Source organism: Homo sapiens, chromosome 4 (genome assembly GCF_000001405.40).
Source record: "Homo sapiens chromosome 4, GRCh38.p14 Primary Assembly".
NCBI classification, from domain to species: Eukaryota; Metazoa; Chordata; class Mammalia; order Primates; family Hominidae; genus Homo; species Homo sapiens.
Window position 1 is genome coordinate 184,079,020 of NC_000004.12, and position 22,709 is coordinate 184,101,728.

Here is a 22,709-nt window from a genome sequence, read left to right on the forward strand (position 1 = left end):
CAAAAATCAAAACAAAAATGGAAGAATGCAATGATAGTGTAAGTTCTTTGAGGACAGTAACCATATTTTTCTCTTCTGTGTATCCCCAGAATACAGTACAGTAACTGATGTGAAGGAGGAATTCCATAGATTTTTGATGAGGCCAGGCGCAGTGGGCTCACGCCTGTAATCCCAGCACTTAAGGAGGCTGAGGTGGAAGGATCCCCTGAGGCCAGAAATTCAACATCAGCCTGGGAAACATAGTGAGACCCCATCTTTACAGGAAATTTAAAAATTAGACGGGTGTGGTAGTGTGCCTGTAGTTCCAGCTACTCAGGAGGTTGAAGTGGGAGGATGGCCTGAATCCAGGAGTCGGAGGCTGCAGTGAGCTGTGATCACACTCCTGCACTCCAGCCTCTGGGCAAGTGGTAGTTTGTGGTAGTTTGTTATGGCAGCCGTGGCTTGCCAGCAACCACTAGAAGCTAGGAAGGGACAAGGCGACAGAGTGAGACCCTGACTCAAAAAAATCTTTGATGAGCTGGATTGACTCCTGAATAATTGGAAGGGTGTGTTAGCCTCCTGCGGCCGTGATAACAAACGACCACAAGCTGGGCAGCTTTAAGCCACAGAAATCAAAGTGTCACAGGGTCACGAGTCATCCGAAGGCTCGAGTGGAGACTCCCTCCTTGCACCTCCCCAGCGTCTGGTGGTTGCTGGCAAGCCTTGGTATTCCTCTGCTGGCAGCTGCACTGCTCCAGTCTGTGTCTGTCACTTCCCTGCCTTCTTCTCTGTGTCACTGAGTCCACATTTCCCTCTCCTTTAAGGACACCAGTCATTGGATGAGGTTCCACCCTAATCCACTGTGACCTCATCTTAATTGGATTATATCTGCACAAACCCTATTTCCAAATAAACTCACATTCACAAGTACCTTACCAGGGGTAAGGATGGGAACATATCTTTTGGGAGGGCCGCAGCTTAACTAACAAAGCGTGCTGTGTGTGCTCTTCTTCTGTATCTACAGGTCTGAAGCTTCTTTGGAGGGACTCCTTCCACATGGGGCAGGTTATTCCGGAAGCAGCTCCAGAACTTCAAATAATTATATTACACAGTCAGCACACCGTTTTCTAAGGGCTAGATTCATGCATTCTTTCAGTGTTTGAGGGCCTGCTGTGTGCTGATGCTGCTTCAGGATCTGGATGTGGAGAGATGAGTAAGCCAGACAGCTCTGATCAAATACAATTGTTTGTGTTTTAAACTTGCCAAGGGCATCATGGACTCTTCTGGCAATTACATGATTAAAACATAGTTTTAAGAGAAAGGAAAGTCATCATTTTTCTTTTTGCCAAGATGTAAACTAAGATGCATGACTGGGAAAATGTCATCTTATAGGATCATGCCTATGGACAAGGGCTTATGGCAAAACTGTGGAGCTCAGCTTGGAGTGCCCCGAATCTGAGCACAGCAGGATGACAAATACAGAAGCAAGGATGGGTGGTCTGTGGGAGGGGAGATGAAGGGGAGTTGCGGGATGGATTGCAGTAGTGCTGGGGGCCCTGACAGTGGATCAGGCCAGGAGTCCTCCTGAGCTGTCCTGGTGGCCCCTGGAACCACCAATGTGATGGAACTTCTCCTGGTCCAGTGAGCACCCTGGGTGGTACAGGAAAGAAACACACTGGAGCAGGCATTCCGCACTCAGGGAACCACCCCAGGACAGCTGTGTGTTTGTGCCTTCTTCCTCTTCGTGGCTTTCCTCGAAAGGTGGCATGGCCTCAGGCTGCCATCACACCCTTCTTCCCCTTGGGCCTTCTGGCCTGACACTCCGTGTGCCTCCCTGCCTGCCTCCTGCTTCTGATTTCAATCCTTGGACTCTCAACAACTCGTCTCCCTTTGTCAATATGGAGAATGTGTAACAAATGGCCTCTGTTTGGCGGAGGTGGGACGGCTGACACCTATGAATGGACCTCTGGACAGCTCCTCCTGCCAGACCAAGGCCACAGGGACCCAGACAGTGACAGCAGGCAAAGAAGCTGCATTCTGGCCCGGGACTCTTGGAGTACTCACCAGCCATGAGGGACGAAGGCTGAGATGCAACGTGAAACATGGACATAAATGTGGTTGTTTTGTATAACCCCCCAAATAACTGGGGGAGATGCTACCTCTCTCCATAGTTTTTTTACTTGGTGACACGCAGCATATATATGAGAATGAAGGAAGGATCTTGAAGATCATGGTTCCCACACAAATTACAAGCACCATCGTTAATGCGTGGTTACAGTAAAGAGTCCTATCCAGTTTCTCAACTGCCAACCCCCACCCCTCGTATGAGGACTATGAGACATCATAACCTGCAGGTAGAGTTCAGTATTCAACAAAATGAGCAGCTGTCATCCTGGCTGTCACCTGGTGAACCAGAGGCTGGTGTTTCCTACTTAAGGTATGAACAGACTTCTGCCTTTAATCATTCCTGGGCCGGGTTCTATTAATACATATCAGGCAACTATGAAAAAAATGACTGGATTTTTTTCCCCAAGCAATCAAAAGTAGTTTCATATTATTTTATATTAGTGTGTGAGAGTTACATATATTTGTATACCATTTGTTAAATCCTTAATTCTAAGACTTGAAAATGAACTACAGAAATCTGTGTCCGGTGCATTTAAGTTCAGGATTCAGGGCAAACTACTGCAAGTGGCCAACGTAAACTTTTCACTGAAAGGCTGCAGAAGAATGCAGATATACGTGATGTTGTCTGAAAGCCCTCTACAAGATGTTTTACTCTACTAGCCTTGAATTATTTTGGTGTGAGAAGCAGAGCTGCTCATCCCATGCAGAAATAGAGCGCTGAATTTGATCAATCAAATTCAGACCCTCAACTAGCCCACACGCCCAAGCGTAACCCTTGTCTTTGCAGAGCCTGGGATGTGTCACCATGAAGGCACTGTGGCCACACTGCAGTTCTCCAGGGTGAGCCTGTGGTTCATCCATAAACAACTGTTAACAGTTTCCACACCCACCAGCTTCCCATTGCTGTTGAGCCTTGTTCAGATCTTGCCTTTGCTGGATCCTTCAACAGTAGGTCTCACAGTGATGGAAGCTGCTTCTGGGCCTTGCACCTTCTAGTCCTCTGAGCCAGGAATGTGCATGGAGGTCGTATTCCCAGGGCCAATGAAGCTCCGTGGGAAGCAGGCAGGGGGCGGGGCCTCCACTTCAAGCACCACTTTATTTTCAGGGACGTTTGCTACGTTTCCCACCTCTGGCCTTTCTCCACTCTTCACACCCTCGTCTCCCCAGTAGAGGAGAAGTGATTTACCTTATTGGGGAGCTTCAGAAGGAGCCCCTTTCCTGCTTCTCTCTGAAGGGCCAGCTGTGCACACAGAGCTCACAGTGTCTCCTGCTCCTCTGTTCTCTGAGTCTCACAGGTGCAAGGCCTTGGTGGGCAACCGTGTGTAATTCAGAGGTGAGGTATTACAAACCATATTCTCCAGTATCCATCAGCTTTGTTTTAAGAAAGAGGATATTTTACTCTCCATCTGCCATACCCTGTGTCTACCTCCATGAGTTTTCAAATTAGTTAGGATGCAGGGGTGGCAATTATTAGGGTCCCTCAGACCCCGACATCCTAAAAAGAGAGAAAACAAGCTAGCTTACTGTTTTCAAGGAAACTATGAGACAGAGAAGAAAAACAGAATTATTTGCATATTTAGCATGCAATAAACTTCATGCAAAGTAAAATGTGTATGAATGCAAGGAAATAGAAATAAAGATAATTGTGAACCACAGCATTACCCAGTGCTAAAGGGAAACAAAAGTGAAGTAATTGAGGGAAAATGGGGTTAAATAAGAAGGTCAGAGTTTAGATTAAAATGTTGAAGCAGAGACTTTAAATAGTGGAAGTGGGCCAGGTGTGGTGGCTCACGCCTGTAACCCCAGAATTTCGGGAGGCCGAGGTAGGCAGATCACCTGAGGTCAGGAGGAGTTCGAGACCAGCCTGGCCAACTAAAAAGACAAAAATTATCTGGGTGGGGGGTGTGCGCCTGTAATTCCAGCTACTCAGGAGGCTGAGGCAGGAGAATTGCTTGAACCCAGGAGGCGGAGGTTGCAGTGAACCGAGATGGTGCCACTGCACTCCAGCCTGGGTAACAGAGCGAGACTCCATCTCAAAAAAAAAAAAAAAGTGGAAGTGGAGTGGGGTAGAGGGGTGGATAACAATAGGGCAGGGGGTGAGGAATGCAATAAAATGCAAGTAAAATAAATCATCATTCGCTCATTGAACAGGCTGACAGACCTACACATGCCAGGCCTGGTTAACCCTGCTGAAAGTGTTAAGTCGAGACCATGGACGCTCACTGAAGAGTTTAGAGCCAAGGAATGGCCTGGCCTGACTTGCATGTTAGAAAACCCCTTGGGTGGAAGAGAGGAGAATGACCTGAAACCTTAAGATCTCAAGGAAGCCTGATAGGAGGTCACTGCATAATGATAAGTGGAATGATAAGGTGGAACTTCTAGTTGGGGTACTGGGGAGAAGGGGCTTGTGGGGCTGTTACTGGCTTCTAGGGTGAGGCCATAAGAGTGCTCTGGGACAGCCTGGGTGAACTTGGGTGGTGAAGCTGGATAGAGACTGGACTCGGGCTGTCCCAGGGATGGTGGTGGAAATGGGGCCTCAACACAGGCTCAGCTGGAAGATGGTGCAGAATCCTAAGGTAGGGTCCTCTGCAGTGCTTCCAGGTGATGGAGCTGTTTTCAAGAACATTAGGGCTCACCTTCTATAGAAGATATTTCTCCTTGAATTTATGGGATACTCATTTTAGTGTTCCATACCGAGTATTGTGTAACCAGAAATACAAAATTTAAATTTCTGAAGTGATTTGGATTTTTGTTTTTAAATAAGTTTTGGTCAACAGAATAATTTAAACATTTCTCTAAAAAGCAGACATGCTTTGCAGCAAGTATTGCGGGGACAGCTGGATATCTACATGGAGAAGAATGAAGTCATGCTCTTTCCACACACCTAACACAAAAATTAACTCAAAGTGGATCACAGACCTAAACATAAGAGTTAAAACTTTATCACTCTTAGGAGAAATTAAGGGAGTAAATCTTCATGATAATCTGGGCTTAGGCAAAGCCTTTTTAGATATGACACAAAAAGCAGAACTGACAAAAGAGAAAACCGATGTTAGACATCATCAAAAGTTTAAACATTTTCTGCTTCAAAGGACGCCATCAAGAAAGTGAAAAGAAAGCTCACAGAAGGAGAAAAATATTTGCAAACCATATATCTAATAAAGGACTGGTATGCAGAATGTATAAAGAATGCTTACAACTCAAAAGACAAATAATCCAATTAAAAAATGAGAAAGTTCAAAGAGCTAAAAGCAGACCGACCATTGGACCCAGCAATCCCATTACTGGGTATATAACCAGAGTAAAATAAATTGTTCCACCATAAAGACACATGCATGTGAATGTTCATCGCACCACTATTCACAATAGCAAAGATGTGGAATCAACCTAAATGCCCATCAATGAGAGATTGAATAAAGAAAATCTGGTACATACACACCATGGAATACTATGCAGCCATAAAAAAGAATGAGATCATGCCTTTTGCGGGAACATGGAAGAAGCTGGAGGTTATTATTCTTAGCAAACTAACACAGGAACAGAAAACCAAATACTGCATGTTCTCATTTACAAGTGGGAGCTCAATGATGAGAACACATGGATATGAAGAGGGGAAAAACAAAACACTGGGGCTGTTTGGAGGATGGAGGGTGAGAGGAGGGAGAGGATCAAGAAAAACAACTAATGGGCACTGAGCTTAATACCTGGGTGATGAAAAAAGCTGTTCAGACCACCACCCACCACCCCTGACACGAGTTTACCTATATAGAAAACAAAACAAACAAAAAAACATGGGAAAGGATTTGAATAGAATTTCTCCAGCAAAGATAGACAAATGCCAATAAGCACATGAGAAGATGCTCAACCTGACTCATTACTGGGAAACTGCAAACAAACCCACCGTGAAATATCACTTCACACTCACTAGGATGGTTGTCATTAAGGACAGCTAGTACCAAATGTTGGCAAGGATGTAGAGAAATTCGAACTCTCCTACACTGTTTGTGGGAATGCAAAATGGGGCAGCCAAGTTGGAAAATAGTCTGATAGTTCCTCAAAAGTTTAGCATAAAGTTACCATCTGACCCAGAAGTTCCACTCCTAGTGACAGACCCAAGAGAAATGAAAACGGGTCCACAAAAATGTGTTCATGAATGAAACACATGATGAAAATCAAAAAAGTGAGAAAAACTAATGTCTGTCCATAGGTGAACGAACAAATAAAATGAAGTATATCCATACAATGGAATAATTCTTTGTAAATGAAAGGAATGAAGTACTGATTCATGCTATAACCTTGAAACCATTATGCTAAGTGTAAGAAGCCATCTGCAAAGGACAACATATTGTGTTATTCTATGAAGTGTCCAGAACAGGCAAATCTGTAGAGCCAGAAAGCAGTTTCGTGGTTGCCTGGGGTGGTAGTGGGAGGAAATGGGGGTAACTGCTAGTGTACTAATGGGTTTGGAGTTTCTTTTTGGAGTGATAAAAATGTTCTAAAGTTTGTGATAGTTGCACAACTCAGTGAATACACTAAAAGCTGTTGAATTGTACACTTCAAATGGATGAATTGTATGGTGTGTGAATTCAATCTCAATAAAGCGCTATATTTTTAAAAAGTTAATATGCATAGTATATTTAAAATGTAATTCCCTCCTCCCCGCCCCCAGTTCCTTCCTTCTTTCCTTCCTTCCTTCCTTCCTCCCCCATGCTTAATTTATAAGCCTGAGATAGAATATGTTTAGATCCATGAAATAAAGCGTAATTATATTGTTAGTTGGGTAATAAGAAAAGAGAGCAAGGCAAAAGTGAAAAGTTCATTTAATTTGAGAAACTGCAGGCAGAGAGGATATCTGAGGTTTGAGCAAGTCCCCTTAATGACATTGATTCATTTTTTATTCAACACATATTTACGGGACGTGTATTAAACATTTGAGGCACTGTACTAGGTGCTACTTTATGATTTCACAGCAACATACGAGTATATTTTCCATAGCACGCACCTGAGACCAAGTTTTAAATGTTTTATAACAAGTCTGTTGAGGCTACCTCCTTCCTTTTTTCTAGCAAGTCATTTACAGTAGCTGACTTTGGTCTATCACAAATTGCTTACAAAGATAAAACCCACAATCACACTTGGAAATCTCTTGCTATTTACAGAAGTGCAAAGCACTTTCTTGGAAAATTCATAAAATAGCTGTGAGTCTTGAATAATGCCTGAGTGTGTCTTGTAGCACCGTTGGGGATCTCAGAGCCACAGGGAGTGGGATGTGGAGAAACTGAGTCTGCCTATTGTGGGTCCTCCCTCCACCACTGGGGCTGCAGATCTACTTTGGTTTAGAAGGACTGAACACTTGACCCAGCCGAGGCCCCTAGAGATATGGGCTGATGATGAAATAGCTTTCAGGAGAATTGGGTCTACAGGATCAAGTCAGAACCCACCTCTTATCAGAGCAAACCCAAGCCTTGGGTCCAGGTGACTTCAAGGTGCTATCTCAGGACCACCCCAGACCCTCTGAACCTGCATCTCTGGAGGTGGGTCAGATGAGGCTTAAAAGCCCAGGAAGTTTGCAAACTACTGTCTATGATGAACTCGGCTCTGAGGTGGACTCCCAAGGTCCCTTTAAAAGTAAAGGAAACTAGGACCTTATAAGTGAGGACTGTTGGAGGCTAAAAGGAATCCCCTGGGCCAGATCTAGTTGATGCTTAGATCCTCACAACTTAATTGAATTGGATTCCAGAGATTAGGCATATGGACAGGAAGAGTGGTCACTCATCTCATCTTTATTATTATTATTATTTTGTCTTTTTTTTTTGTTTGTTTACTTTAAGTTCGGGGATACATGTGCAGAACGTGCAGGTTTGTTACATGTGCCATGGTAGTTTGCTGCACCTATCAATCCATCATCTAGGTTTTAAGCCCTGCGTGCATTAGGTATTTGTCCTAAGGCTCTCCCTCCCCCTGCCTCCTACCACTTACCCCAACAAGGCTCGGTGTGTGCCGTTCTCCTCCCTGTGTCCATGTGTTCTCATTGTTCAACTCCCACTTATGAGTGAAAACATGCAGTATTTGGTTTTCTGTTCCTGTGTTAATTTTCTGAGAACGATGGCTTCTAGCTTCATCCGTGTCCCTGCAAAGGACATGATCTCATTCTTTTTTATGGCTGCATAGTATCACATGGTATATATGTGCCACATCTTCTTTATCCAATCTGTCATTGATGGACATGTGGGTTGGTTCTAAGTCTTTGACATTGTAAATAGTGCTGCAATAAACCTATGTGTGTATGTGTCTTTATAGTAGAATGATTTATAATCTTTTGGGTATATACCCGGTAATGGGATTGCTGGGCCAAATGGTATTTCTGGTTCTAGATCCTTGAGGAATTGCCACATTGTCTTCCACAATGGTTGAACTAATTTACAGTCCCACCATCAGTGTAAAAGCATTTTATTTCTCCACAGCCTCGCCAGCATCTATTGTTTCCTGACTTTTTAATAATCGTCCAAAAAGAGCCCGTATAGCCAAGACAATTGTAAGCAAAAAGAACAAAGCTGGAGGTATCATGCTATCTGACTTGAAACTATATTACAAGGCTACAGTAACCAAAACAGCATGGTACTGGTACCAAAACAGATATATAGACCAATGGAACAGAACAGAGACCTCAGAAATAACACTGCACATCTACAACCATCTGATCTTCAACAGAGCTGACAAAAACATGCCATGGGGAAAGATTCCCTACTTAATAAATTATGCTGAGAAAACTGGCTAGCCATGTGCAGAAAGCTGAAACTGGATCCCTTCCTTACACCTTATGCAAAAATTAACTCAAGATAGATTAAAGACTTAAAGGTAAAACCAAAACCATAAAAACCCTAGAAGAAAACCCAGGCAATACCATTCAGGACATAGGCATGGGCAAAAACCTCATGACTAAAACACCAAAAGCAATGGCAACAAAACCTAAAATTGACAAATGAGATCTAATTAAACTAAAGAGCTTCTGCACAGCAAAAGAAATTATCATCAGAGTGAACAGGCAACCTACAGAATGGAAGAAAATTTCTACAATCTACCTATCTGACAAAGGTCTAATATCAGAATCTACAAGGAACGTAAACAAATTTACAAGAAAAAACAACACCATCAAAAACTGGGCAAAGGATATGAACAGACACTTCTCAAAAGAAGACACTTATGAAGCCAAGAAGCATATGAAAAAAAGTTCATTATCACTGTTCATTAGAGAACTGCAAATCAAAACCGCAATGAGATACCATCTCATGCCAGTCAGAATGGCGATTATTAAAAAGTCATCTCATCTTTAATCTGAGGCTCATTCCTTTCATTTGTCCTCGGTAGACCAACCCAATTATCTTTGTCCTGGAATCAGCCGTGAAGTTGAAAAGTAATCCAGGAGACAAAGTGTCTATACATATTCCTAGCAGATTTTAGTCCTATGGAAAAAAATACATTTAGAGAAAGTGGAATTTTCCTAAGGAGAACAATGTAATTTTAAAACAAAAATAAAAGGGAACAAATTTTCACCAAATAATTAAGCCATAAAAAATATATGCATTATTTAAGTAAAAAGCTTTATTTTTTTCCCTCAGTGTCTGAATCTTCTTTATTGTTTACCAGGATTCATGATTCCTTTTGTAACTTGTTCTCAGTCATTTATTCAGTTGAGTAATTACACTTTGTCAGACAAATATCTAAAGTTTTATTATGTAACTTGCAGATTTTCAGGACGAGTGAAGGAGGAAAATGGCAGAAGAGTTCAGGAAAGACAAAAATGCAAGACTGTGTCTAAGTTTATGCCTCTCTTGAGTTTGATGATCCAATTTTAATTTAATCATTTGAGTATCTCTTAGGGATTCTTCCTCCACAGTGGAGGAAAGTGGGCTCTACTGAATTCATTGGAACACCGTCCTTTAAGGAGAAAGAAACTTTGAACAATAGACGTCTTTTTCAACAACTACTGCCAATGTTTTGAAAGTTGTCATTTGTTTTCAGCTAGATAACAAAGGCTGAAGAGTTGCCTTCTTTCCAATTGATCCGATGGTTTACTGGCGCTTTTAAAACACATTACATAAATCTTTAGAAATCTTTTGTGAAGGTAAATTCAGTATTTTTAAGCAGTGATCCTTTGCTCTCATGATTCATGGCATGGAGACAGCACCCAGCTTTCCTGAATCAAGGTGAACGTTGATATTCAGTTTTCAAGGTAACACACCATATAAGGCCTCCATCGTCCTGAGGAGACCTGATATATTGCCTTTTCCTGACAAAAAGTCTCACTTGCAGATGTACCTCAATTAGTGCAAACTTTTTTTTTCTTTCTATTTTTTGGGGGGGGTGGAGGATGGGGTCTTGCTCTGTTGCCCAGGCTGGAGTGCAGTGGTGTGATCAAAGCTCACTGCAGCCTTGACCTCCTGGGCTCAAATGATTCTCCTGCCTCAGCCTCCCAAGTAGCTGAGACCACAGGCATGTGCCACCATGCCTGGCTAATTTTTTAAAAATCTTTTATGTTTTGTAGAGATGGGGGTCGCCCTGTGTTGCCCAAGTTAGTCTGGAACTCCTGGCCTCAAGGGTTCGTTTGTCCCTCCTTGGCCTCCGAAAGTGTTGGGATTATAGGTGTGAGCCACCATGCCCAGCCCAAACTCATTTTTTAATGCAGTGATAGTGTATGCAAGTATATATATGTATATAGATATAAATGATCATGTAAAAAGGAGTTATTTCTTGTGTTACAATTTCTCCTATAGCAAACACAGATGACTAAGCTAAAAATATTTCAACTCAGGCTCAGTGGCTCTTCTCAAAGGTATCAAAAGAACTTAGGTCTCAAAGGTGGTACTTTGGCCAAACTGTTTCCTAATCAAACGACCAGTTAGTTGGTCAGTGACTGGGACTCTGCTCCATCATGCTCTCTCCATTCTCCACCCAGCACCATTTTCTTTGGAATTCTATGCCACTCAAAGACTGTTGTTGAGCAAGCCATGCTGCAGGGGTACTGGTGTCCAGGATTAAGGCTTAGTGCATCACCTCTCTGAGCAACCCACCGAGATCCTTGCTGATGCCTCCACATTCTCATCAGTGAGCCAGCCCTTTCCCAGGCTATAATGTCATGTCAGGGATTGCTCTTGTCTGCACCCTATATTGGGAGCCACAGAGTGGCATGTCTGAGGAAGCCTTTGCACAGGTGAACGGACAGGGAAGGCAGGCAGGCCATCCATTTGTCCATCAATATGCAGGGCCTGCTATGTGCCGGGCTTCATGCCACGATACACTATGTGTGATAAGTCTCACAGAAGCCCATGTCCATCAGAAGCTTTTCTGCTCCTCAAGGCAAGAGAGAAATTTTCGTGCACTCAGACTTTGGGAGGGCACTCATGTCTTTCACCTTGTTCTATGAGTTCTCCAATCCTTAGTGATTTATTTATTTTTTGATTGATTGGTGATCCATGCTAAGTTACGTCCTTTCTGGAGCTCAGTATAAGATGAAAAAATTCCATGAGCTGGGTCAGAAATAGACAGTAGCTTTTGCTTTCATGTAGACCTCCTTTTATCAGGGATGGAAGGAACAGTACAGGATTGTGGCCACAGACACTGAGGATGGCTCCTGGGTGTGGACAGGGCACAGACAAGGGCCTGGTCTGAGGGGGTCCTTTGTGCAAGGTGGGACAGAGAGGGGCCCAGAGCCACGTCTGTCTGCAATAACCACTCCAAGTTTGGTTGCTGCAGGAGCAGGTCCCTGCTCAGAGAGTTCATCCTGAGTAACGTGAAAAGAAAGGAGAAAATGACATATAACTGCACAAATGGAAAGCTAGGATTTTCCTACCTTCTGGAAAAACAAGGTTTGTATCTTTTTTAACAAGTAGGAACTTTTATGTATAGAATTATCCAAGAATAATGTATTTACAATGTGCATGGTCTTGATTGTGTTAATGAAGCTATTATTCACACATAAAATGAAAATCATCTGGCTTTGGAGGCCCACTTTGCTGATGGTGTTTTTTTCTGAGACAAGCAATATGATCAGTTATGCAAGCAGGAAGAGAAGAATCAGTGCCAGGGCACAGTGGCTGGGCCAGACAGGCGGGGCAGTGCTGGCGCGGCCCTTCAGCATGCACATCACCCTGGACCAGGATCCGTTGTTGGGCAGCGGGGTGATGCCCACCACATTGCACATGACATTGTAGACGTCCACCGACCTGATAGGAGCAGCTCTGAAGTTGGATTTGAAATCTGAAAGGGAAAGGCAAACAAACAAGTTGTCATGGCAGCTCCAGGGCAGAGGTGGGCTGAACGCAATAAAGAAGAATTACATTCAGGCTGCAGGTGACATTGAGATTAGGGAATCAGCTCCATCAGTGGGGTGTGGCCTAGTGAGTGTGAACATAGAAGGGTATCCGGAAGGCTGTAGGTTAGAAAGGGAAACAGCTTTCTATGGCTCATGGAGATGAATTTCTTTAAAAGACAAGCAGCAGAGCCAGGCTTGGGGGCTCACACCTGTAGTCTCAGCAAGTTGGGAGGGCGAGGAGGGAGGATTGCCTGAGCCCAGGAGTTTGAGACCAGCCTGGATGACAGAGCAAGACACTATCTCTAAAAAAAATTTTTTAAACCAGGCATGGTGGTGTGCTCCCAGCTACTCGGAAGGCTGAGGTAAGGAGATCACTTAAGCCCAGGAGTTCAAGGCTGCAGTGAGCCATGATAGTGCCACTGTACTCCAGCCTGGGCAAGAGAGCAAGATCCTGTCTCAAAAAAAGGTAATCAGCAAACAGACTTTCTTTGTGCATAACTGTGCTCTCTTTGTGACAACAGCACTTTCTTTGGGGGCTGCGGGGAGGCTGAAGTGCCATCTGATGCTGCTCCATGTCTGCAGAGAGCACAGCAGAGCCTGTATGGTCACAGAGTGACTGTCTTGCCCTTAACCAAATTAAATGCTATGTCATTTTTCAGAACATCTATCTAGCCCGGACCGACAGCCAGAGTGCCAGCGTCTACTGCAGAGGCCGCACGGCAACTCAAGAATGTTTTCTCACTTTGCTGCCCCATCGAGGTCACAGGTCTTGATGGAATGTGAAACTGCAGTTTTCTCGGTGCTCGCTAGCTCAGCAGCCATGGCGATGGTTTCCTAAATACATTTGGAAGATGAGTGGAACACTCTTTGGGAGCATTTTACCAACAGATAAAATACATTAGCCATGTGGAAAATGAGCAAACTGGTATCTGAATCAGGGATCCATGTGCAGGCTCTGAGCGATCTAATGGAGAAGACCACTGTGCCTCTGCCCAGAGTGGCCCCAAGCTCGAGAGTCACGCAAGAACACACAGGTAGGGTGGCCACACGCAGCACGGTGAGTGAGGGACGCCGAGGGTGACTCCACAAGTCTTTGGAGGGATTTCAATCAAGGGATTTCTTCTTCTCTACAGCGGGCAGATGAGAGGCAGAATTCAAAGCACTTGTCCATTTAAAGAGTGAATGTAAGATTTTAGTAATACACAAAAGCAACTTCACTTTTAGGCCCCAAACCAGAGCTTGTAACAAAATACCCAATGCTACATTAAGGTTGAATTCAGGGAGGAGATTTAAGCCATTGATAAAGGCCTGTGCCTGTGCTTTCTAGTTCCCCTACAACTTTTGAAGGAAATGAGTTGTTTGGGGGCCGTAAAGCCAAGTTTTTTAAGATATTAGAAATAATCTTTGTAATTGCTTTGCTAAAGAATCCTAAATACTTTAGTTAAAAAGCAAACAAACAACAACACACAGCAATATATTGCAGAGGTATCAACACCAAATTCTGCTCCTCTATTTATCCTGGAATTATAAATTGGAAAAAAGCTAAATATAGATACTTCTGCCACATAGTATGTTAGATCCAGGGCAACTGCCCAAATAGCACGTTTTGCTCCCTTTGGAGAATTAAAGTTGAATCCAATATAAAGAGGTGTGTGGGCTCTACCGCCAGCCTGCACCCAGCATGCACTAGCTGGGTGACCTCCGGAAATAGGCATAGAAAGTCATCGTTCCTGGAACACTGTGTATACCCAGTAAATGGTCACTACTATTATTAATAAATATTTATGACAAGGACAAATTGTGGTTTGAATATATTCACTTTCTAAATTATCTGGAGGGTTTACTTTTCTTCAGGGGCATGGAGGATAAGGGTCAGCTTCTCCTCAGAGTAAAAATTAGTTTTAAAAAATGTAAAACCTGGCCAGGCACAGTGGCTCACACCTGTAATCCCAGCACTTTGGGAGGCCGAGGTGGGCAGATCACATGAAGTCAGGAGTTCAAGACCAGCCTGGCCAACATGGTGAAACCCCGTCTCTACAAAATTTACAAAAATTAGCTGGGTGTGGTGGCAGGTGTCTGTAATCTCAGCTACTCAGGAGGCTGAGGCAGGAGAATTGCTTGAATCCAGGAGGCGGAGGTTGCAGGGAACCAAGATCGTGCCATTGCACTCCAGCCTGGGCAACAGAGCAAGACTCTGTCTCAAAATAATAATAATAATAATAATAATAATAATAATAATAATAATAATGTAAAACCTGTCCAGAGAGGAGAAAGAAAGGGCTGCCCCAGTATCCCAGCCCCTCTCAGGCAGATCAGACAATCAGATGAGGATGGTAGTTACACTTCCCTATCCGAGGAATCAAGTGCAGCACGAGAATCCAGTGGAATGGTTGTTCCAGCGGCATGGAAGCAACTCTTCTATCTTCTTCTCATGTGACCTGGATGTGATAATTCTACTGCCACATGGGGCCATGCCTTGCTGTGTGTGGGTGGGAGGGCATGTGAGGCAGTGGACCAGAGTAAGCCCAGGTGTCCCACAGGCTTTCAAATATCCATTTGTGGCTGGGCACTATGGCTCACACCTGTAATCCAAGCACTTTGGGAGGCTGAGGCAGGAGGATGGCTTGAGGCTGAGGAGTGCAAGACCAGCCTGGGCAATATGGCAAGACCTCAACTCTGCAAAAATAAAAAATTAGCTAGGTGCGGTGGTGTGTGCCTGTAGTCCCAACTACTCAGGAGGCTGAGGCAGGAGGATCTCTTGAACCCAGGAGATGGAGGCTACAAGTAAGCCATCATGCCACTGCACTCCAGCCTCGATGACAGAGAAAGACCATCTCTAAAAAACAAAACAAAACAAAAATCCTCTTCTTTAACACTTCACAGGAAAAACTGAGATCAAATTCTTCTGACAAAAGTATTAGAAAATATTATCTTTTTACACTGGAAATATGAAATCGAATTCTGTGCATTTAAGCATAAAGGAGGATTGAGATTTCTTTCCCATCCCACCTAGTTCGTGGCCTCCTGCTGCGCAGGGATAGTGCTTTGGGCTCAGTGCAGAAATAATCCAGGCTGGAATGAGAAAGCTTTTAGAAAATTCCTGAAGAGCAAAACAATGCCTGATCCAACTGAGGACCCAGACAGGCTCTACTAGCTGAAGATGGCATTTCAGACATGGACAGAGAGTCCAAGTTATCCTCGCGTGTTTACATTTTTTTGGATATGAGAGGTGTGTCTCTTACAGAGAGGAGGTTCTGCAGGCTTACACTGTGGCTGGCCACCTGGGGCTGCCTTCCCAGTGGGGCTTGCTAGCTCGCAGGCAGCTCACTGACTCCCACTCCTGCTGTCTTATCTCAAACGTGGAGTTCTCCAGGGCAAGATTAGACTGTTCAAATTAGAAACTGGGATTAACAAGAGTGAGGCTCTCCTGCAGAATTACTTCCCTTTCTCTTTGCTGGACCAGACTCACTGACTTCTGAGGCTGCATCTGGGCAGCCGCAATGATGCCCAGCTTTCCCCCTAAGGGAGAAGCACATACAGTTAATCAGGAGGGATGCACCTTTATCTCAAAGTGCAGCCAGATAGCTATTAAAGGCCTTGCTCTTAAATTTTCTTCTCAGTAAACAGCCAGTGTGTAAAGCTGTTTAATCTTTCATGAGAACTGGAGCCAGAACGTGATGGTTTGCGGGAGGCTCTCCACGCTGTATCTGCCTGGAAACATTTTGCAATTAGCGCAGTCCATTTTCATCAGGGGTCATCTATCTGTCTGTAAAAGACTGGGCGCTTTTAGTGTTACAGGAACCTGTGATGGAGGCCTCTGTTAATGGACAGAATCTCTTCACCAAATTTTAACTTTAAGCTAATGCAGCTTTGGGGACCTTGTTTAAAATTTGGGGTTTGGGGCTAGATTTGGTTCTGCTTTAAAATATTCCTGAGACTCGGCTGGGCGTGGTGGCTCACGTCTGAAATTCCAGCACTTTGGGAGGCTGAGACAGGCAGATCACCTGAGGTCAGGAGTTTGAGACCAGCCTGGCCAATATGGTGAAACCCCATCTCTAAGAAAAATATAAAAATTAGCCAGGCGTGGTGGTGGGCTCCAGGAATCCCAGCTATTGAGGTGGCTAAGGCAAGAGAATTGTTTGAACCCAGGAGGTGGAGGTTGCAGTGAGCTGAGATGGCACCATTGCACTCCAGACTGGGTGACAAGAAACTGTCTCAAAAAAAAAAAATATATCTATATATATATATAGATATATATATTCCTGAGACTCTCACTTGTATATAGTCCTTCCCAGACCACTGCTTTGCATTCATGATCCTATTTCCCTCATCTGGGAATGGAGGGTGCCATGCTTTTGAATGAAAGCCTTGCTGACTAATGTTCTCACAAAGAAAGACCATGGCCCTGGAATGTATCCAATGTAATCCAGTAGTTACCCTCGGGGTGCTCCATTCCTAATTCCTTTAGCTTTGGGGCTCTGCATATCTGACCTGGGGCTCGGCTGACAGGGAGCACCTGATAACTATCACTGGTTAAAGGTAGCATGTTCAGGCATCTTCAGAACCCTCTCTTAGGCCAACATCATGAACCCTATTAGTGCTCCATGAATTTGCTGCTACTGCTTCTAATGCTCCCTTGAGGACTTGGGAACCTGGATCACATGTGGAAAGGGATTTGGACTAATGTGTTTCCTAAGCTCAGGCACCCACGGAGGTTGCAGAAACTGACACCTCATAGTTCCTAAAAGGGATTTTGTGGAAAGTAGAGTGAACGATGGTAGGCTGAATGAGGGATGCTGGCATACGTCTTTGATCTTACTAAATTGAAGAGATGAGCAGAGCTTGTAGATGTGATGTGTAACCTATAATTTGAAAGGCAAACATGGACTTTTGTGGGCTGAAACATTTTGACCAACATCTAGAAAAAGGCATTCAGAATACAGGTATCAGGGTAAGCTGCTTATATTTAGTGCAGGAGGACGGACTGTGCTAAGAAAGAAGGATAGCTCATGAACCAGTCAACTGATGGTTGATGGCTGTTGGATGATTTTTCTCCCTTTTTAATTTTTGTTTTTGGGAGAAGAGGGTGTTCAGGTAGCAGTAAGATCTTCAGAGTGTTTGGCAAACTTTTCCAAAGTATGAATTGGCAGGGATCCATCTGTTAAATCAAATGACCAGATAGGCCCTCTCCATCTCTCCTCTCCTCCAGCCCTAGGAATTAATCTGGTCAAGAAAGACACAGCAAATTTGCTCTCATGCAAGGCAACCCTCGTCATTCTGGCTCATTCTCAAAGTCAGGCTCAAGGTCATTTCCGCGAGTGCCCTTGAGCACATCCCAGCTTCTGGCTGGACTCTAAACTAAATGAGCCTCTCTGAGGTGGGTGCTCGAGACGGGAAGGACCGTGGAAGAGCCAGACCCCGAGAAGCGATCGCATCAACAGTGAGACTCACAGCGGTCAGCAACCTGGTGTCCAGTAAGCTTTCCTGGACATCAGATAGCTATGAAATAACATTTTGATGAATTAGGTAAAAAATGAATCACAAACATGTGGAATACATTTTCTTCACTGCACTCAGGATTTAAAATTTACAAGGCAAAGTATTTGGCTACATTTGCCAAACCCAAGAAGCATTTGAAAGGAAGCCAGCAAAAGATGTTTCATGGAGACCGGCTGGGTTTGCTCTGCTTGGCTCATAAAGAGGGTCTGTAAGGAAATCCCTGCAGCCTCTCCTGGCACCCGTAGCCCCCCTTACAGACACTTCCTTGGGAATGGGGTCTGAGAGCATCTGGTCATTTCCTCGCCTACCAGGTCCGAAGGCCAGGAAGATGCCCCGCATGTCCATGAGCTCGTTGTCGTAGCCGTGCCATCCACGCTGCCAACCTTCCCGCCTGCCGGTGCTGTTCATCCAAAACGGAAGCATCTCTCGATTCTGAAACCAAGCAAGGCAGACACATGACACTACGTCCTGACCGTGGCGCTGAGCGGGCATCTGCTCCAAGCCGCCACTCCACCGGGGGGCGCTTTCCTCCTCTGCGCTCCGACTGACCCAGACTGACCCAACCTCCGCTGCGGCACTTCCTGCTCCAGGCCGCTCAGACCTCGGGCAGCAGCCTATTCGATTGCTAAGCGCTGTGGTTAACAAGGTGTTTTCCTACGTGGGGCTGAATTGTCTCCCGTAATCAGTTTTAGAGCCACTAAATATAGTAAGTTAGTGGCAGAAGGGATGTTAAAGTGTATCTGCGGTGTCATAAAAATGTATTTGGTCTTTGTCCCAGGTTTCTAACCTAGAGCTCCTAAAACCAGGGGTACAATTTCCTGAGGATAAGAATGTCTTTCGCTTTTCATTCATAAGGAGCTACTTTCTCCCACACCTGAGTTAATGCTACTGAGAGGGGTCCTGGGGCTGGGGGCTAGACAGCTTCAGGGTGGGGACTGGCCACCAGAGGAACCAGACCGGGGGAGGGAAGAGGAGCTGGAGACTTGAGTCCAATCACCTGACCCATGATTTCCTCACTCACGTCTGCGCGATGAAGCCCCACGTGAAGCCCACGGGGCGTGCGGTTCCGGAGCCCCTCGGGAGTGGAAGCTCTGCGTGCCTCACCTCCCATGCTTTCTTTCCCACGGGCCTCTCTATGTGGTGCCTCTCTAAGGGCCATCCATTACAATAAAACAGCCATCTTAAATATAGTGTGCTTTCCTGAGTTCAGTGATTTGTCCTAGTGAGTGATCAAACCTGAAGTAGGGTCATGTGACCCCTCGAATGTAGCCAAATCACACGCAGGTGCCGGCAGCCTGGGGACCTGGGACTTGTGGCTGGCCTCTGAGTGGGGGCTGTCCTGTGGGATGGAGCCCCTTGACCTGTGAGGCCCACTCTAACTCCAGGTATTGTTGTCAGCATTGAACCGAATGGCGGGATATCCAGTTGATGGAGAATCTTAGGGAACCAGTATCTATCTAATCACATTTCCTAGCAAAGCAGCCGGACCCAGAAGGGTCTCCTCAGCAAATCCCAACTCCCTTTCCCATGCAGCCCACCCTGCCTTTCTTCCTTCTGGCCCTGCCCTTGGGAGCAACTCCAAGCCAGCCTCCTCTCCTCCGTTAATGAGCACACTGGAAGATGGCACCTTTGCTCCCCTTGTCCAGGCTTCACAGACCTTAATTTCCCTCAACCACTCTTCCTTTGGGATGGGTTCCGGAACCATCACTTCCCGACACACTTCTTTTCTTTGGAACCCAATTTTCTTAGACTACAGCTGATCACTTGCTATGAAATAGAGGGCTGAGAGAAGGCTTTGCAAGTCCTACAGAGGCTGCAGCCAGCTGAGCACAAGCCTAGCCATGCACCTCAGAAGCCACTCATTCTTCTAAGACCTCGCCAAGGACGAACGGCCCATCCTTGCTAGGCAGGTTTCAATATTACAAATATTTACTATTTCAAATGCAGGAGGTAGAATTTGCTGGTCGTGATGAATGAGTAGAATCAAGACCACTAAGCTACCAGCAATTTACAGGTTGGCTCACAAGACTAGTATCATGTGTTTAGTGAGCCAAGCAGTTCGCCATAAGCTGACACCAACGTCCACTGAACCATCACAACATCCCAGTGGGGATGATACCATTTGCCCCATTTTGTAGTTGAAGGGACTAAGGCTCAGAGAGGTTAAGTGACAGTCAGAGTCACACAGCTAGTGCAAGGCAGGGCTGGGATTGGAACCCAGGTCATCTATCTCCCGGTGCCTGGGCCCCTTCCACTCCACACTGCCAGAGGTCACTGCAGTGCTCCTGCTGGCAGCGGCCAGTGAGGTGTCACCTTGCACTTCACATCCTCACTCACGGAGTGTGGCCAGACACAAAGCACTAACAGGATTTTGGAACTGGGTTGGTGCAGTTAGGTGGGTTAAATTCCAGCTGCTACTTTCTAGCTCTGGGATCTTGGCTGTTTCACTTCTCTGAGCTGCAGTCTCCCTGCTGGTCCTGGCCACCTTGCAGGGTCTGTGGGGGATGTCATGACTGTGTGCTAAGTCCCTGACACACAATAGGTGTTCAATAGGTGGCAACGGTCTGGTCCGCAGATGCCCCTGGCCATGGGGCCAGGTGCCCGGGCAGTATGCAGCCGGGCAGTGTGGGTTGTGAGGGCTGAGCCTGCTTGTGCTTATTTAGCTGTCATATCACATTGCACAGCCATCTGCTCTCACCCCATAAATCGCCCCCTCGCATTGCAGCTTTCCAAGTTTCTCTGTTTCCTGAGTTTCCCGCATCCCTCGTCCCTCCTTCTCCAGCTGTGGTTCGTGTTTTTCCATGGGAAGGTTTCTTTCACTTACTGCATCTCTAACTTTCTCTTTTTCTTCCTTATCTGTCCATGGTGATGATCACAACACATCCCAATTTAGTCTCGTCAGCTGATTTAATGTGTTGCTTCTCCCTCTCACAGTCTACAAGGCGGTGAGCACTGAAGCACGAAGTAGAACACTTTTGCTATTAACAACCTCACCAATTATGAACCTCATAGTCTGTGTGTGCCCCATGGCAAAGAACAGAAGCAAGATAGGTGAAGACTGATGGCCTGATTTAAGACTTACAGCCTAGATTCCACAAATAAACACACAAAGCAGTGAAAAACCCCAGCCCTGAAAGTGATTTTGGATCTTTCTAGTCGTAGGTAAATCCACTCATTTTTATTAAAATAACAAGTTGCCCCAGAAAAACAATTGCTCTTACTGATGAAAAAATCATAGCCACCTGGCGGGTCAGGTGCACAGGTAACTGTGTGGTGTAAGTGATGGACTCAGCCTTCATTTCACAATGCTGCAGCCATGATTTCCTTCTTTTTCCTCTGCCAGTGGCTTTTAGCACCTTTGCTTTGTACCTCACATTATCTTCTCAAGGGCATACAGCTGAGGCCAGGCCCATGAAGAAGGGCCCGCCACACACCTCTCCACCTCCACAGTGGGAATGTCCATCTGTGGATCCGCAAGCTCCTGGTTGGCCTGCTGACCCCATCCAGCCACTGCGGGGCCCAGGGACTGCCACACAGCGCCACCTAGTGACATCCGGGGAGGCGCCCCAGCCCTCCAGATCTGGCCGAAGGTGAGAAAAAAGGGTAGAGGGTGGGCTTGTGTGTGTGCGTTCAGGCAGAGTGGGGCCTCTAAGTGGGATCCCACTGTAGGGTGGGCAGCCAACTCCCAGGGTGAAAGGAAGCACCCGGTTCTCCTGCAATGTGTGCTGGAGGGGGTGTCTCCCCACTCCTCAACTGGTGGGGAGGGAATTCACTCCATGCAGGCAGAGAAGGAGTGGGGTGCCCCAGGTAAGAGGAGTCCCAGGCGATGGTGGAACGTCCCTGCCAGCATGTGGGAGAAGCCCATGATTTCAGGGCCGGTTTATTCAGTTCTACGGATGTGGACTGAGCTCTGGATTCGTGCCAGGAACTCAGCTAGGCTTCTGGGGTCGGGGCCACAGAGGTGGAGGGCGGCTCCTTCCCCTAACAGAGCTCAGCTTTAGTGAGGGAGGAAGGGGGCTGCAGCTGCTGGGCATTGACTCCAGAGTAAGTCAGTGCCAGGAGTGGGTGCCCGAGCCTGAAGGAGGGAGGGAGGCTCAGGCCCCAGGGAGGCCTTCAGCAGTGGGGACACAGGAGGAGGCCGAGGGGAGAGTCAGTCAGTGGGGACGCAGCTGTGTGCATGCAACCTACATGCATGTAAACACATGTGTGCATGTGTGTGTGAATGTGTGTGTGCATGAGTGTGTATGTGCCTGTGTATGAGAGTGTGTGAGTGCATGAGTGTAAGCATGTGTGTGCGTGTGTATATGTGAGTGTGTGTTTATGTGTGTCTGTGTTGCACGTGTGTGTTAATGTTTATGTGTGTGAGCTTGTGTGTGTGTGTGTGTGTGTGTGTGTGTGTGTGTGTGTGTGTGTGTAGCACTGGGGTAGGGAGATGGGGAGGAGAAATCAGGATGAGGAGTCCACACAGGGAGTCCAAATAAAGAGGGTGGGGTCGCTCCAAGGGTCCTGCAGTGACAGAATCCTGGAACTCCAAGAGCGGAGGAGCCCTTGAATGACCTGGGTGGGAAAGATGGAAAGAAAGCTGCCATCAGAGAGAGACAGCTGGAAGAGCCAGGAGGTGAGAGGAACTGGGTTGTTTTGCTAGCGAGGTTTTGCCAACCAAACAGGGTGACCAACTCTCCTGGTTTGCAGCTGAGAGGGTTTCAGGGATGCAAGGCTTTCAGTTTGAAAACCAGGACAGTCCCAGGCAAACCAGGACAAGTTGGCCATTGTACAGTCAGCACTATATTAG

The 22,709-nt window shown here is 45.9% G+C and overlaps 1 protein-coding gene and 1 long non-coding RNA gene across 2 annotated transcripts in view; one reads left to right on the top strand and one right to left on the bottom strand.

The window, feature by feature from the left end:
• Positions 1-389: 389 nt before the first annotated feature.
• On the top strand, positions 390-14,216 carry LOC124900826 (uncharacterized). The gene is made up of 2 exons (XR_007058415.1): positions 390-2,416; positions 13,078-14,216. It is a non-coding gene; the product is annotated as an uncharacterized LOC124900826 (long non-coding RNA).
• Positions 9,687-22,709, bottom strand: part of ENPP6 (ectonucleotide pyrophosphatase/phosphodiesterase 6) — a 129,168-nt gene continuing 116,145 nt past the window's right edge. The window contains exons 7-8 of the mRNA NM_153343.4: positions 18,226-18,349; positions 9,687-12,363 (exon numbers count right to left, since the gene is read on the bottom strand). Coding sequence (NP_699174.1) covers positions 12,158-12,363; positions 18,226-18,349 — 330 coding nt within the window. The 3' untranslated portion in view covers positions 9,687-12,157. The remainder of the gene's footprint in view (positions 12,364-18,225; positions 18,350-22,709) is intronic.